The following is a 16,610-nucleotide window of genomic DNA, read 5'->3' as shown; positions in this document are numbered from 1 at the left end:
GTGAGTCTGACATGTCAGCTGCATTCAGACCAAACCCGCCCCCCGCAAATACCCAGAGACTGAGGCAGGAAGCTCTGTAGAAATTCATTTTATTCTTATTCAGACTATTTTCAAAAGAAGCAGTGGTGTGCTGTTTTTCTAAAAATATGCCTTTATAGATTTTTATATATGTATATTATAAAATCCATACATGTATTTACATGATTGCTACATACAAAATTACAGCACTGTGGTATGTACACATCTACAGGTACATTCTTGCCGCGCATCCCTGCTGTGCTTTCCCCACGTGAGGGAGGGAGGGAGACTGAATCGGTTGTGAGCAGCTGAGGGCTGGCCGGGCCGCGGAGCCTCTGAGTTGGGGCCTGGGTGGAGGAGGAGGGGCGGCTGCAGAGGCAGGAGCAGCAGCCACTGCAGGCTTCTGCAGGCAGGCAGGCAGCATCTGGAGGCTTCCGGCAGCCTCCCCCTCCCCTCCACCCCGTGGTGCCTGTGCTGCCCTCAAGGTGGGGTGGCTGACCACAGACCCCTCTGGTGCCATTCAGTGGCCTGGACTTGTTTGGCTAGGCCAAGAAATTATGTATGTATGTGAGGGGTGGAGGAGGGAGCTGTGGGAGGAGGAGACCCCGTCCAACCCCAGCCCTGAGCAGGGGAAAGGGCTGGATGGCTAAAGCCTGCAGATGACTGGTGATAACACTCTGCCTGGCCAGGCCCTGCTAAGGGGCAGAGACTGAAGGCTGGGAGGGAGAGCAGTGGCGACAGGGGGACAGGGCCTTCTTCCTCCCTGGGGCTCGGGTGGCCTCAGCTGAGCTTGGGTAAGCCCCGGCTCTTAGACCCTGCGGCCAGAGGCTTGGCCTCCTGCCAGCTGAGGTGCATGCATGCGGGGGAGGGGCTGCCATCTCTCCTTTGACCCTGGGCCAGGGGCTGGGGAAGGAATGGAGGCTCAGGCCTGGCCCGCTGCCCCCACAGGTCTAGGCCCCTGGGGCTCAGGCCTCCTGAGGCATGCAGAGAAGGGCCTCCATTCCTTCTGTTCCCCATTTGCTAAAATCAAGGAGGCAGCAGTGCCTGGGGGTGGGCTGCGATCTGTTGGGTGTGAGCTGCAAAGCCCAACACCAAGGGGCCCCTCTGGGAGGTGGCCTAACCCTGCTCAAGCACGTGGTCCTGGAGAAGCCCAGGCGTGGGCTTGGCCAGGCGGTGGGCCAAGGGAAGCCTTCAGTGGCCAAGGCAGGCCCCCACCTCTAGGTCTCCATCCCCACCGACGAAAGGGAGCAGGCCCTCCCGGACCCATGGGGCCCTAGCATGAGGGGCAGGGCAGCTGCTGAGGTGCAAGCTGCAGGGGAGGCCTTGCCTGCACCGCCTTTCCAGCTGCCTCCAGTCCACCCATCTTTGGTGGCCTGACTCCTCCCAACTTAAATTTTCCTGAAGAATGAGAAGAGTCGTTTGCCTTCAGCGATGCTGGGCTCATCCCCCCGCCCAGCGCTGTGGCCCCTGCAGAGGGCAGCAGCCGGCTGGCTCCGTTCTTTCAGGTGCGTGTCCATCAGCTGCCGGTCAATGACCCTGTGCATGTCATCCTGCAGAGGGGAGGGGACAGTGGCCAGGACTGAGTAGCTGCTCTCACCTAACCCTGGGGCTGGACAGGGAGGTGGGAACATCAGACAGATGAGAGATGAGAATGTGATGAGTGAGAGGCTGCAGCCGGGACTGCCCTGACCAAGAAAGCGGTGAGCGTGGGCAAGACACCAGGCGCACGCAGGAGCCGTATGGCACCTCCAGCCTCCTCAGGCTTGGGCTGGGTTCTCCTCAACAGTGTTACTCCTGCTGGGCCGCCACAGTCCTCAGCTGATGGCTCGGGTGGTCTCTCCCTGCAGTCTCCACACTAGCACTCCACCTGCTCTGACCAGGCCTCACGGCTCTGCCTCCTGTGTCCTGTGGGCCTGGCTGGTGCCTCCGGTTTGGCTTGCCACCCCCAGCCCCGGCAGGCCCTAGGGCCACCTCAGCTTAACAGCTCCCCAGCCCAATGGCCTGGCCTCAGGGGCTCCTCCTGCCTTTTCCTTTCCAATTATTCCAGCCTGAGCTACTGATGCCCAGGCACCAACGGCAGCCTCACGTGGCAAGGATGCCCTGGGTGCTGCCCTAGACCCTGCTGCTGAGGCTCCCATCTGCGGCAGAGGCCAGGGGCCTCACGGTCTTCAGGGGCTGTCCTGCACCAAATCAGGCCCATTTCTTTCAGCTTCCTCACTGGGGTAGGACCGTCCCCCAACTCGAATTCGTTCATGTGGTCCAGAAAATGCCTTCCTCCCCACAGCCCGCCCCACCATGTTTTACAGAACAGCAGCCTTTCCCATAGAGAAGCCTGTGGACAGGGCAGCTCCACTCCCTTCCCATTTTGGTGGCTAGATTCTGACTCTGGGTAAGACTCCATTTGACAAAAGTTCTGCCACTAACAAAGTTTGAAAACTCCTGCTTTAGAAATATGAGCAGCCTGTGTAATTAGCATCATCAGTAAATGTAACATGTGTCTGCTCGATTCCTTCATGACTTGAACCTGGCAGGCTCTGCGGCATCCTGGTAAGACCCCAAGCTTTTCTGGCTAAACCCCTGAGTGAGTCAGCCTGTGGTGTCCGAGCACAGGACAGGTGAGGCCTGTGTTCAGGGCAGGCTCCCTGTGGCCAGGGCAGATGACCTCTTTGGTTCCGAGCAGCCACTGACGAGATGAGGGCATGAAGTTGGGCTGGCTGGGCCCCTCCATCTGAGCAGCTTGTCCACTCCTCCTCCCTCCCACCCATGGGTGTCATTCTAATATCTCTGCAGGTTTCAGCATGAAACAAAGGGGCCTTCCTGAGTCATCGTGGGGTAGCAGTGAGTGTGGACCCCTCACGCGCTCTGGCTCAGGGCCTGCTCTCCAGCCTCCCTATTCTCTCAACCCTGTCTTTCAGACTCAGCTCATTCCTGGTCTTCTCCTTGCCCTTGTCTTCTTCCCTTCTCTTCCATCCCCTTTTCCACTTGCCCCTCAGAGCTGGCACTGTGCCAGGTATTTGCCAACACACGGTCCCTCCTTATAAGGGTCTAGTATATGATCCTTGGCACAGTGCCCTGCACTTACGACGTGCTCAGTAAAATCTACGCTAAATCCAATGTAGGAATGCTAAAGGGTCTTTCAAAAACCAACCTTTCAAAGCTGCCAATGTTTTGTTTGGCACACTGAAAACTTCATTTTTTTAACTTTAAGCAATCAGGTCTGTCCAGGTCGCCCTTTAGAGTTTCCCAGACACACGCTGCTCATCATTCCAGGCCTGCTGGTCCCTCAGTGGATGGAACAGCCATCTATGAGAAGACGGCACCAGCCGTTAGCACTGGGCCACACACTGCTGAAGAGCTCACTGGACGCGACTGTGATGGAGGAGGGAGCTGGGACTTGAGGGCATGTCACACTGCACAGAGATGACGCCAGGCTCCAGCACACAGAACACAGTGGGCCATGAGGGGAGGCGGCGGGGCAGCACAGCAATGGCAGGGCGAGACGGTGGATGGGATGTAGGGCTCAGGCTCACCTCAAAGGCAGGAGGGGTGTACAACTAAAGCTGTTGATACGGGAACTGAGAAAGGCCACTAGATCAGAAACCAAAGGAGCCAGATAGTAAAAAGCCCTGAGGAAGCAAACTGTAGCCGGGAGAGAAGAGAGAGAGCAGCGGTCAGCCAGGGCGCGGCCAGCTGGCTGCCATGCAGGAGCCAAGGAGCCAGGGACGGGCACCCTGCGGTGGGGCCAGTGTTCTGGCTGCCAGCCCCATGGGGCCCTGGGAGGAATGGTCACCAACAACCTGCCCTCCACGGGGGGCTTACCTTGTAAAGCCACAGACGGCTTTTCATCTGTCTGGATGAGAATTCTTGGGGAGAAATATTAATGTTTATACCCATATCCTAAAACTGTGCTACCTCAACCTCACGAACAAAACCCAGCCAGCCACAGCCCAGTCCAGTGGGGGAGCCATGCTGGACCCTGAAAACAGTGGGTCTAGAGAGGGACCCACTGACTCCTCTTCCCCAGGGCCTGTGCCAGCACAGTGCTCTTTGGAAAATGGAGGCTGGCCCTTGAGAAGGGGAAGGGTAGCAGCTGCTGGCTGCAGGAGGGTTGCTGAGCCGCATCCCGCTGTGAATTTTCATGCAATTATACTGAGCTTCCTGGGCCTCCATGTTAACCAGTTGTTTCTTTCCAGCTTAAAGCCCAGACAACCAGCTGAAAGGGGGCCCCATTCCAAGTCTGGAGATCACTACATCTCCAGACAGCAGCAGCCTGGGCACTGTCGCTCAAAAGCATCCTTAAGCATTCTTCCCCAAGGACTAGGGGACATGAGCTCTGGATCTTGCCAGGTGAAGACTGGGATGTGCTGTTCACCCAGTCACATGGAACCCTCCAGTGGCAAACTCTCCTTACACTCTGCCTGGGTTCAGAGATTCCTCCTGGAGTCTCCTCTCGCCCTGGATCTCAGGCTCCAGTTTACCTGCCAAGCTTCCAGCTGCTGCGAGAGGTTCAGTTTCTGCTGAATGGCATCCAGCAACTGGCTGTTCAGAGACATCATATCCATCCTGCACTTGGCAAGTTCCAGCTCCACAGCATTCTTCCTGAGAACAGACAAGCCAGGGTGAACATGGACACCTTGTGCCAGAGGCATCTTGGTCTTTACTTGGGGCACCTGGAGTCCCAGGATGAGGAAACAGGCTCTGACCCTGAACTCACAACAAATAGCAGCTGCAACAATAACTATGATGTTGCCTGCAGAGGGTTAGTTTGCAACATGTTTTCACATATATTCTCCCAGTTTTCATAACCAACCTGTAGGTGAAAGGAATATTTGTCATCCCCACCTCACGGATAAAGAAACAGAAGTTGAGGCCGGGTGTGGTGGCTCATGCCTGTAATCCCAGCACTTTGGGAGGCCGAGGCGGGTGGATCACCTGAGATCGAGGGTTCGAGACCAGCCTGACCAACATGGAGAAACCCTGTCTCTACTAAAAATACAAAATTAGCCAGGCGTGGTGGCACATGCCTGTAATCCCAGTTACTCGGGCTGAGGCAGGAGAATTGCTTGAACCCAGGAGAAGGAGGTTGCAGTGAGCCGAGATTGCACCATTGCACTCCATCCTGGGCAAAAAGAGCAGAACTCCGTCACACACACACACACCACACACACACACACGTTGAAAGAGCAGAACTCCGTCACACACACACGCCACACACACGTTGAAAGAGCAGAACTCCGTCACACCCCACACACACACACATACACACACACACACACACGTTGAAAAAGGACAATACTAAAATAAGGACTGGAACCCAGAGGGGATCAAAAGCCTCACACAGCATAAAGGAGCTACTCATCCTTTCCCAAAATGGCCCATTCCCCACTGGAAGGCAGGAACCTTGTCCTGCTGGTATAGAAGGGATTCCTTGTAGTTAGCAATCCCCCTTAGGGGAACTGTCCTGAAGATACAGAGGTGTGCGAAGATAGCCACACAGTGGTGATCACTATAGCTTAGCTAGTCAGAGTAGCCAAGTGGTCATGAATGATGGGATGGAATACAGTCACCAGTAAAAACCATAAAGTAGGCCGGGTGCGGTGGCTCACCCCTGTAATTCCAGCACTTTGGGAGGCCAAGGCGGGCGGATCACGAGGTCAGGAGATTGAGACCATCCTGGCTAACAGTGAAACCCCGTCTCTACTAAAAATACCAAAAATTAGCCAGGCATGGCGGCAGGTGCCTGTAGTCCCAGCTACTGGCGAGGCTGAGGCAGGAGAATGGCGTGAACCCGGGAGGCGGAGCTTGCAGTAAGCCCAGATCGCGCCACTGCACTGCAGCCTGGGTGACAGAACAAGACTCCGTCTCAAAAAAACAAAAAAACCCCATAAAGTGTGGCCAGGCGCGGTGGCTCGTGCCTGTAATCCCAGCACTTTGGGAGGCCAAGGTGGAAGGATCACCTGAGGTCAGGAGTTCGAGACCAGCCTGGCCAACATGGCGAAAACCCATCTCTGCTAAAAATACAAAAATTAGCTGGGTGTGGTGGCAGGTGCCTGTAATCCCAGCTACTCGGGAGGCTGAGGCAGGAGAATCGCTTGAACCTGGGAGGTGGAGCTTGCAGTGAGCCCAGATTGTGCCACTGCACTCCAGCCTGGGCAATAGAGCAAGACTCCGTCTCAAAAAAATAAAAACAAAACCCCACAAAAAACCATGAGGTAGAATATTTATTGACAGTTCATAACATATTGCTGAGTGGAAAAAGCACCAGAAAACAAGGTCTAGTATAATACTAGTTTTGTAAAACAAAAACTGCCTGTGTCCGCAGGGTGCTGTGGCTCACGCCTCTAATCCCCAGCACTTTGGGAGGCCAAGGTGGGCGGATCACCTGAGGTTGGGAGTTCGAGACCAGCCTGACCAACAAGGAGAAACCCCGCCTCTACTAAAAATACAAAAATTTGCCGGGCGTGGTGGCGCATGCTGCCTGTAATCCCAGCTACTCAGGAGGCTGAGGTAGGAGATCACTTGAATCCAGGAGGCGGAGGTTACAGTGAGCCAAGATCACGCCACTGCACTCCAGCCTGGGCAACAAGAGCGAAACTCTGTCTCAAAACAAAACAAAAAACTGCCTGTGTGTTCAAGGATATGCACAAAAATGTCTAGTTGGTTATCTCTGGGTGATGATTACTGATGGGTAACTCCTCCGACATTATTTTGCATTTTTTTATTTTCACATTTGTGTTTCACGTATTACTTTGTTCACCTTTCCCAACATTCCTAAATCACGGCTGTTCAATGCAAAAGAAAATTAATTTTTTTCGAGGGCAGGGGAACGGGAATAAAGGTGGAAGGACCTCTGCAGAGGCAGCCCTGGTTGCCCAACTGCAGAAACGTGTATTATTTAGCCCTTGCCTTCATTAATCGCTCCCTTAAGCACTCAAAACAGCAAAGCTAACAAAAGCATGCTCCTTGTACAGGGCCAGCGACTAATGTGCAGGGCTCAAGGGCAGCTAGAGGATCCGCCTGCAGAGGCCGCCTAGCTCGAGCTTCACAACACCGACCGCACTAACCGAAGTGCGGCCAGAAAAAGGAACAGGTGGATCCCACTTGCAAAGTGCTCAGGCCACTGCTGCGACCAGCACTTCTTCTTTGGCTTCAGGTCTACCGAGCAATTAGTCACCTGTGCCGACACCGCAAGTGCGCCCCGCCCGCCGGCCCGCCTGCCTTCCCTAGAGAAACCGCTCCAGACAGCTCAGCCACCGCGTCAGCCCCGCCCACTGCGGCAGCGACGGGACCCGAGCCCGTCTAATGGATGCTGAGGGCTCAGATGCCGAAGGCTGCCTCCGTCACACCCACTGCTATTGGCTGGCAGCAAACAGCGGAAATCCTCACGCGGCATCGGTTGCCATGGACACCCCTCCAGTAGCGTCAGAACCCGTGGTGCCCCACGACAGCCACAGCCTCCTGAGCTTCCGGCGTCCCCCGGCAGGTGGCGCCGAGAGCAGCGGGAGCCCCAGGAATGTGCTGACTAACGTTGCCGGCGAGGGACAGATGGGCCCAGGGCTACAGCCGCGGCGCAGCGCCGGGCATGGTGGGGTTCCCTTCCTTGCCAAAAAACGCCCTGAGGCAGGGGCTGCCTGGACGACCTCCAATCCTGGCCACGCGCTGCACCGTTGGGACATTTGCTCACCAAGGAATAAGTGCTCGTCATTCATGGGAAACCCCAGACCAGGATCAACACATTAATCACATTTTAAAAATAGGAATATTCCAAGGGCTCGAATAATTCCTTTTTACAAATGAAACCACTAGTAACTGACTTGTTTTTGTAAGGCAGATTGCTAGCCCAAGATTTATTTTTGGTTTTAGTGAAGGCCCTTCACCTGCAAGGAGATAAAAAAATTGCTACTTAATTTTCCTGAAACTCATTTATTGTATAGGAGAAGGTGCACCTTAAGGTTTCTGCAGCCCAGTGACGAGAAGGAAGTTATATTTCTTAGGGATTCTCACCCCTGACTACACATTAAAATCAAGGGGGAAAGAAGTGGGCCCCACCCAACTGACCCCACCCCGTGATTTCAACTGTATTGTTCTGGTGAGGTTCCTGGTGTCTGAGCGCTCCCCAGATGATTGTAATGTGCGGCCAGGATGGAGAATCAGAGATAACGTATATGGAAGAAGTATCTGGTAAAACTAAGTTACTATACAAATGGGGGGTGTGGTTTCCTCTTTAAATGATTCCTTAGGCTTGTCGTCTCAATTCTTGTATAACAAAAATTCATTTCTAAGGTATGGGAAAAGAACTATCCTCCCAGAGTAACCTAACTGCCCAGCCAGCCCTGTTCTATAGGAGTCCAGGAAGGACAGGACCCTTGCTCCAGAGTTCTCCCTACTGGGGGCATCCTTCCAGAGGGGAGAATTTGCAAGTCTAATCAGACTCCTGGATAGTAACTGGGCCTCCTTTGAAAGCAGGCAAGAGCATGCATTACAAGGTTTCATGTAGATTTGCTCACCCAGGTGGCAGAGCTAGGTTTTACTTTTTTTTTTTTTTTTTTTTAAAGGGAGAAAGACTGGACAACTTGCTTCTTCTCTCCTGCACCCTGACACTTTCTCTGTTTGTATCCCCCACCTTCCATCCCACCTTCCATGCTGATGACAGAATATGATCTTAATGTTCAGCTTCTTGTCTGAGAGAAGGTAACCAACCCATGTGTACTTCTATCTTCATTCTGCCTTTTTTTTTTTTTTTTTTTTTTGAGGCAGGATCTTGCTCTGTCATCCAGGCTGGAGTGCAGTGGCATGATCACAGCTCACTGCAGCCTCAACCTTCTGGGCTCAAGTGATCCTCCCACCTCTGCGACTCCAAGAATGTACCACCACACTCAGCTAATTTTTTATTTGTATTTTTAGTAGAGACAGGGTCTCATTATGTTCCCCAGGCTGGTCTTGAACCCCTAGGCTCAAGCAATCCTCCCATTTTGGCCTCCCAAAGTGCTAGGATTACAGGCGCCCTTGCCTGGCCTCCTTCTGCTTTTGATTTCTAGTGGACTTCCACGATAAGCATCTTCATTTTACCATTTTATTCCATCACACAATTTCACTGTTATTCATAAAGGTATGCTGCCTCCTCTATCACACTGTTACTTTTTTTTGAGATAGGGCCTCACTCTGTCACCCAAGCTGGAGGGCAGTGGTGCAATCTTGGCTTACTGCAACCTCCGCCTCCTGAATTTGTGATCCTCCAACCTGGCTACTTCTTTTTTTTTTGTTTGGGTAGGGATGGGGTTTCACCATGTTGGCCAGGTTGGTCTCGAACACCTGACCTCAAGTGATCCACCTGCCTCAGCCTCCCAAAGCGCTGGGATTGCAGGCCTGAGCCGCTGCACCCCAGCCTTATCACACTGTTACTTAAGTATCCATTAACTAAATATAGTGGAAATCCAAGCAGCAAAGATACATCGTTATGTGGGATTCACCAAGAATAATTTCTAAAATGAACTAGAAACTGACAGACACCATGACATGAGGTTCTGACCAGAAAGAAAAGGGGACCCAAAGGTAAAACGGAAATAGAGATAATGAAAATGATGAAAGAGAACAGAAGGGAGGGGGAAAGTGTGTGTGGAAGTGAGGTTAGAGTATGAGTAATTTTTTTTTTTTTTTTTGAGACAGAGTCCCCGTTCTGTTGCCCAGGCTGGAGTGCAATGGCGTGATCTCAGCTCACTACAACTTCTGCCTCCCGGGTTCAAGTGATTCTCCTGCCTCAGCCTCCTGAGTAGCTGGGATTACAGGCGCCTGCCACCATGCTTGGCTAATTGTTGTATTTTTAGTAGAGACGGGCTTTCACCATGTTGGCCAGGCTGGCCTCAAAACTCCTGACCTTAGGTGATCTGCCTGCCTCGGCCTCTCATAGTGCTGGGATTACAGGTGTGAGCCACCGCAACTGGCCTGAGTATGAGGAATTTTAAAGTCAGAAGTTAAAATGTGTGTCATATTATTTTTTTTACAAAAGCATACAGTATCTTATTTACACATTGTTTCCAAGTAGTTCATTTTAGCTTCCCAACAAGTAGCAGTGTAGCAAAGGGAAAAGGGTGTCAGGAAGACGGGAATCAGAAGACTTGAGGTGGAGGCTCATGAGTCACTGCTGGCTGTGGCCCTGGCAAAGTATTTCTTAGTTTCCTCATCTGTAAAATTGGGATTAAAAATTTTTACTTCTTACTGTGGCTGGGAGGATTAAAGAATAAAAGTGTTGGCCGGGTGTGGTGGCTCATGCCTGTAATCCCAGCACTTTGGGAGGCCAGGGCGGGTGGTTCACAAGGTCAGGAGATCGAGACCATCCTGACTAACACGGTGAAACCCTGTCTCTACTAAAAATACAAAAAATTAGCAGGGCATGGTGGCACATGCCTGTAGTCCCAGCTACTCGGGAGGCTGAGGCATGAGAATCGCTTGAACCTGGGAGGCGGAGTTTGCAGTGAGCCAAGATCATGCCACTGCACTCCACCTGGGTGACTGAGTGAGACTCCGTCTCAAAGAAAAGAAAAAAAAAAAGAATAAAAGTGCTTTGTAAACTATAAAGTGATGTATAAATATTACTATTGGCTGGGCACAGTGGCTCACGCCTGTAATCCCAGTACTTTGGGAGGCTGAGGCAGGTGGATCACTTGAGGTCAGGAGTTTGAGACCAGCTTGACCAACATGCTGAAACCCCGTCTCTACTAACAGAAAAATTAGCCAAGCATGGGGGCGCATGCCTGTAATTCCAGCTACTTGGCTGAGGCAGGAGAATCGCTCGAACCTGGGAGGTGGGGGTTGCAGTGAGACGAGGTCGTGCCACTGCTCTCCAGCCTAGGCAACAGAGCAAGACTCCATCTCAATAAATAAATAAATAAATAAATAAATAAATAAATAAATAAATAAATACTACTATTAATATTTTGTAAATGACCCCAAAGTAGACACATTTTTGGTAACTATCTCCTCACACTCCTTGAACAGGGTGGGGCTGGGCACCGTGGCTCTTGCTTATAATCTCAGCACTTTGGGCAGATCCCTGGAGCTCAGGAGTTCAAGACCAGCCTGAGCAACAGGACAAAACCTCGTCTCTACAAAAAACAAAAGCAAAAACTAGCCAGGTGTGGTGGCGTGCACCTGTAGTCCCAGCTACTCGGGAGGCTGAGAGGTGAGAGGATTGCTCCAGCCCAGGAGGTCAAAGATGCAGTTAGCTGTGACTGGGCCACTATACTACAGCCTGGGTGGCAGAGTAAGACCCTGTCTCAAAAAAATAAATACATAAAAAGTAATTCACAGGGGAATAGGGGATATGTAAATATGTTTGTTTCCAAAGTTTCTGAATGTAAGACAATGTGTTTATGAAGAAAATGTGGCCAGGCTGGGCATGGTGGCTCATGCCTGTAATCCTAACACTTTGGGAGGCCGAGGTGGGCAGATCACTTGAGGCCAGGAGTTCGAGAGTAGCCTGGCCAACATGGTGAAACCCCATCTCTACTAAAAATACAAAACTTAGCCAGGCGTGGTGGTGTGTGCCTGTAATCCCAGCTATTCGGGAGGCTGAGGCACGAGAATAGCTTGAACCCAAGAGGCGGAGGTTGCAGTGAGCTGTGAGCATGGGTGACAGAGTGAGAATTTCTCTCAAAAAAAATAAAGTAAAATAAAATAAACACGGCTGGGCGCAGTAGCTCACGCCTATAATCTCAGCACTTTGGGAGGCTAAGGTGGGTGGATCACTTGAGCCCAGGAGTTCAAGACCAGCCTGGGTAACATGGTGAAAACCCGTATCTACAAAAAATACAAAAATCTGCCCGGCATGGTGGCACAGCTACTTGGGAGGCTGAGGAGGGAAGATCACTTGAGCCCAGGAGGTGGAAGCTGCAGTGAGCTATGATTGTGTCACTGCACTCCAGCCTGGGTGACAAAGAGAGACCCTGTCTTAAACAAACAAACAAAAAAACACAAAACATTTTTAAAAAGACCTAGTTGGCTGGGCACAGTGGCTCATGCCTGTAATCCCAGGACTTTGGGAGACTGAGGTAGGAGGATCGCTTGAGCCCAGGGGTTTAAGACCAGCCCTAGCAACATGGCAAAACCCCGTCTCTAACAAAAATACAAAAAATTAGCCAGGTGTGGTAGTGTGTACCTGAGGTCCCAGCTACTCGGGAGGCTGAGGTGGGAGGATCGCTCAAGACCATGATGGGGAGGTTGCAGTGAGCCAAGATCATGCCACTGCACTCCAGCCTGGGTGACAGAGTGAGACTCTGTCTTCAAAAAAAAAGACCTAGTTTATTGGAAATATAAGGGACAGAGGAAAATGCTAAATGATGCTATGGGATGCAATCAAACCCAGAATGCAGCAAATCTATGAGAGAAATGATCCACTTTCTTCAACAAATAAATGTAATATGAAAAAGAAGAAAGAGGAGATGTTACAGACTTTTGGGACACATCAGTTAAATGGAATATGTAGGCTTCGGAGTCTGATTCTAAATCAGTTATCAAAAGATATTTATGGGCCAATTGGGGAAATTCTAACATCAACTGGATTCTGATATTATTAAGAAATTATTTTTTTCAAGTGTGATCATTGTATTGTGTTTTTTTTTTTTTTAATTCTTTCTGGTAGAGATGTATACTGAAGTGTTTATGGAGATGACACTATGTCTTGTGATTTAACATAATCCAACAGGGAGGTGGAGGAAGTGGGTGAGGATATAGATGAAATAACACTGACCATATGCTAATTAGTATTGAGGCTGAGAGATGAAGTCATCTTATATCTTCTATTTTTGTGTTTGCTTGAAAATGTCCATAATAAAAAAATAGAAACAAACAACAAAAAAACTAAAAAAAAAAGGTGAGGTAGATATATACATACGATAAAACTGGAGGCCGGGTGTGGTGGCTCACGCCTGTAATCTCAGCACTTTGGGAGGCCAAGGCGGGCAGATCACCTGAGGTCAGGAGTTGGAGACCAGCCTGGCCAATATGGTGAAACCCTGTCTCTACTAAAAATACAAAAATTAGCTGGGCATGGTGGCAGGCACCTGTAATCCCAGCTACTTGGGAGGCTGACAGGAGAATCGCTTAAACCCAGAGGCAGAGGTTGCAGGGAGCTGAGATCGCGCCATCGCACTGCAGCCTGGACAAGAAGGGCAAAACTCCGTCTCAAAAAAAAAAAAAAAAAAAGGAAAGCTCTTTAAGATACAAGTGCAAAAAGGCAAGACATGTAGAGTATCATCCTATTGATGTCTAAAAACACATAATAACTACATTGCCTACACACCTACATATGCATAAGAAAAAGAGCTGCAAAAAATGCACAGCTAACTTTCAATACCAGCATGTGTCTGGGGAGGAGAATGGGAATGGGGGTGGGGGTGGGGGTGGGGGTGGGTAGCGGGGAAACTAACTTTTACCTTTGTATTCTTTTGTATGATTTAATTTAAAAAATTGAGCATATGCTCAATTCTATATACTCAACTTTATCTTAAGAATAAAGTGAAGCCATCCCTACTCACTTTGCAATGGCCTCGTCGCGGTCCCTGATGGCCTTCTGAAGCTGCTCCTTTGGCTCCTTGTCCTCAGAAGTGACTCTGAGTCGGTCTCTCTCCTCTTTTAGGGCAGTCATCTCCACACTCAGCAGTGTCACCTAACAGGAGAATGAATATGGTATCACTGCTGCTGTCCTGGGTGGTTTTCCCTCCAAGAGGGAAAAAGGAACAAAGAGACCCCAGGCAGGACCAGGGTACATGTGTGGGGGTGCAAGCTGGTAGCATTCCACTGCCATCCTGCTTCAAGAGAGGGCCTGTCTCTCTTGAAGAAAGGGTACCACATCACATGCTAGGCTTGAGCTCGGCAGCAAGGGAGCTGGGGGGAATTTAGCTCTGGACCTGCAGCCGTAGGCCAGATCTTCCCTTTGCACTCAGCACGGCATACTACCTCCTCCATCTCCAGGCACTCCAGGTAACAAGTGAATGAAGACCATAAGTCATCATGACACACAGTTTTTAGGGTAGGGAATCCCGTTCCCTTTCCCACCATCTCCCACTCAACATGGATGCTGCTATCAACAGAGCCCTGGATGATTCCAAAGCTGGAGTCCCTGCTCCCCCGTGACAGCCCTTGGCACAGCCCAGCTCGCTTTAGTTCCTCATTCAGCTCCCCAGGTGAAAGCCACAGGGAACTTAGACACCTAAGTGACATTATCATCTTCCACCTCAAACCTGTTACCTTTTCTGTGGCCCATGCTTCAGCAAAGGGCACCACCACCTTCTCAGGTCCTTGTGCCCCAGCTGGGAGTCAACCTTTGGCAGTGAGGCACCCCTCCAGTGGCTCCGTCAGGGACCACAGCTTACCCTGCCCCACAGTATGGTAACCCTGTGTACACCATGATCTGTGTGATGGCAGGAAGCATGTCACATCCATCTGTGCATCCCAGAGCCTGGCTGTGTAGGGTGCTTAATCCCAAAGCAGTAGACAATTGTCATTTTTTGGCTAGTCATCATCCGAAATCTCTTCCCATTTTGGGGGCACTCCTGGTTGTGTGAGACTTGGTGTGACACAAGGCTTGACCTCCAACTAAAGAAGCCAACAGGGAATAGACATTTCCTTTCCCAGGCAGTCTGGGCGTGGGCCTGTGACCAAACTTGCCAGTTACAACCCCTTCCAGGGACTGCAGCTCTGAGCACAGCAAAGCCCCAGGCGAGGGAGGAATTAGTGACAAGGGCGGCAGTTTGTTTGTTGTCCCTTTTCCCATGGCCCTTTCTTGTTTTGGAACCGGGTTCTCCCACTTTCCTGTTGATTCTGTAAGCTTTCAGGTCTCATACATTCTCTTTCTGCTTACATTAAGCAGAGTACATGTTTTGCTGTTTGCAACCAGAAACCCTGCCTGGTAGAGCTTTCAATAAATATTTATTGAATAATGAAAGGGTGGGAGCCCCTTCTTCTCAGTTGATAAGATCAGACGTGAGTCAGGATGCCTAGCCCTGCCTTCATGTTAAATATTACACATACTTTGACATTTTTCCAAGGGAGGATCCATCCATACAGGTCTGCCTCCCTCCCACAACGGGACAAATGCCACCTTTCAGCATACTCCTCTGTTCTTCAAGTCCCAGGTCTAATCCTCTTCAGCTAGAATGAAACTGAGCAAAGGCCCCAGGTGTAAGGCTGAAGATCAAGCTTCCCTTGATCTTGAAGTGTCTGAAAATCAATACATTTCAGACATTCTCCAGAACGAGACGGCAGAGCTGCCAGCCCCTGGGGTAGCAGCCACTCTGGAGGAATTCAGAGGACACCCAACAGTGAAGAGGGACAGAAGGACAATCTGTTGCCACCATAAGCAATGGGTTTTATACTCTGCAGAGTCTAGCAGGAAACATCAGGGCCGGGTGCTCTGTACTGAGAACAGCCCAAAGCAGCAGCTTTTCCGGTAGGGACAGCTGGGTGAGGAGGGCGGAAGCCTCGGGGAAGAACAGGCTGGAGCACCTGCAGCTACCCAGCACACACATGCATCTAGCCCCGAGGCAGACAAGGCACCAGGGCAGAGCCCAGCCTCCCCCTATTTAGCAGCAGACTCTGCAGCCTGGTAGGCCAGGACTCAAGACCTACAAAGCACCTGGAAGAGACAGCCAGACCTCCTCTTAGGCCAAATGAGCCCTGCCATGGCCTTGGACCAGCTGTGGGCCAGTCGGACATTCTGCCAGCAGAGTAAGGGACAGGTAAAACTATATGCTAGGCAGGAAAAGCCAACATTTAATATGCTCCAGATGAAACTTCAGAAGAACTTTTTGCTTTGGCCTAAAAAACCTGGTCGAGTTACAGCCTACCAGACATGTGCCTTAGGAGAGGTGACAAGGCACTTGCCCTCTTTGAGCTATACATACTTTTTATAATAAGCGGAAATAAAAATAACTATTTCTCACCACTAAGTTGTCGTTGAGGATTACGAGATAAATGATATCAAGGGCTCAATGCATGTGGTTGTAAGCTCTACTCTCTCCTCCCTCCTGCAAGGTGGGACCTAATCACTGCTGTCATGATAACTGATCTGGCTTGTTTATACAAAGACTTAGGTTACATCCACCCCTAAATCCACTTTTCCCAAATAAGGTGGGTGTCCCCGCAATTAAATAGCAAAGAAAACATTCAAAAGTCAGATATTGAAGGCTTAATTTGCTCTTTTGTTCAACAACATTTGAGTGCTTATTCTCAGCAAGGCACTGTACTAGCTGCTTTAGGAGAGGACACAGCTAGATCAGACCTTGAGCTCATCCTCATGGGGTCTAGGGTTTGACTGAGAAGATGAGATGTGAGCAGGGTAACTGTGACAAGACAGAGACAGGGGTGCTCCATGAGGAAAGGAATCAAGAGGGTTTCAGGAGGAAGTGATGCTAGATTGGGAACTTGAAGGCTGAATAGCATGGAGATATGAGCAGGTGAGAGAGAAGGCCTTCTGGGCACAGAGAAAGCTGGGGAGAAGGCCCAGGTGTGGGTAGCATGGGGTGCATGTGCCACTGCCCTTTGTATCCTATGTTCAGTTCTGCTAAAGCAAAGGGGGCAAGAGGGAAACCAGAGGG

General features: G+C 50.7%; 1 protein-coding gene across 16 annotated transcripts in view, besides 4 other annotated features; it reads right to left on the bottom strand.

The window, feature by feature from the left end:
* Positions 1 to 72: 72 nt before the first annotated feature.
* BICDL1 (BICD family like cargo adaptor 1) overlaps positions 73 to 16,610 on the bottom strand; it is a 105,260-nt gene continuing 88,722 nt past the window's right edge. For 8 of the 16 annotated variants that reach the window (NR_147894.1, XM_006719694.4, XM_006719696.4 and 5 more), the window contains 3 exons: positions 13,551 to 13,681; positions 4,497 to 4,617; positions 73 to 1,568 (listed from right to left, as the gene is read on the bottom strand). Coding sequence is in view for 12 of the 16 variants with exons in the window: in XM_006719694.4 (XP_006719757.1) it covers positions 1,407 to 1,568; positions 4,497 to 4,617; positions 13,551 to 13,681 (414 nt within the window). In the remaining 4 variants the exon portion in view is untranslated. The other 8 variants (NR_147892.1, NR_147893.1, XM_011538999.3 and 5 more) reach the window with 6 other exon arrangements.
* Positions 484 to 1,127: an enhancer, noted in NCBI's record as "H3K27ac-H3K4me1 hESC enhancer chr12:120531245-120531888 (GRCh37/hg19 assembly coordinates)". NCBI's record gives its function as "activates a minimal SCP1, AML or CMV promoter by ChIP-STARR-seq in naive H9 embryonic stem cells {active_cell/tissue: H9 hESC(naive)}" and the evidence as "EXISTENCE:reporter gene assay evidence [ECO:0000049][PMID:30033119]".
* Positions 1,128 to 1,771: an enhancer, noted in NCBI's record as "H3K27ac-H3K4me1 hESC enhancer chr12:120530601-120531244 (GRCh37/hg19 assembly coordinates)". NCBI's record gives its function as "activates a minimal SCP1, AML or CMV promoter by ChIP-STARR-seq in naive H9 embryonic stem cells {active_cell/tissue: H9 hESC(naive)}" and the evidence as "EXISTENCE:reporter gene assay evidence [ECO:0000049][PMID:30033119]".
* Positions 3,197 to 3,789: an enhancer, noted in NCBI's record as "H3K27ac-H3K4me1 hESC enhancer chr12:120528583-120529175 (GRCh37/hg19 assembly coordinates)". NCBI's record gives its function as "activates a minimal SCP1, AML or CMV promoter by ChIP-STARR-seq in primed H9 embryonic stem cells {active_cell/tissue: H9 hESC(primed)}" and the evidence as "EXISTENCE:reporter gene assay evidence [ECO:0000049][PMID:30033119]".
* Positions 7,164 to 7,243: an enhancer, noted in NCBI's record as "active region_7121". NCBI's record gives its function as "activates an Ori minimal core promoter by ATAC-STARR-seq in GM12878 lymphoblastoid cells {active_cell/tissue: GM12878}" and the evidence as "EXISTENCE:reporter gene assay evidence [ECO:0000049][PMID:35858748]".

Source organism: Homo sapiens, chromosome 12 (assembly GCF_000001405.40).
Source record: "Homo sapiens chromosome 12, GRCh38.p14 Primary Assembly".
NCBI classification, from domain to species: Eukaryota; Metazoa; Chordata; class Mammalia; order Primates; family Hominidae; genus Homo; species Homo sapiens.
The sequence above is the reverse complement of the archived record's forward strand: the minus strand, read 5'-3'. Positions and strand labels throughout refer to the sequence as shown.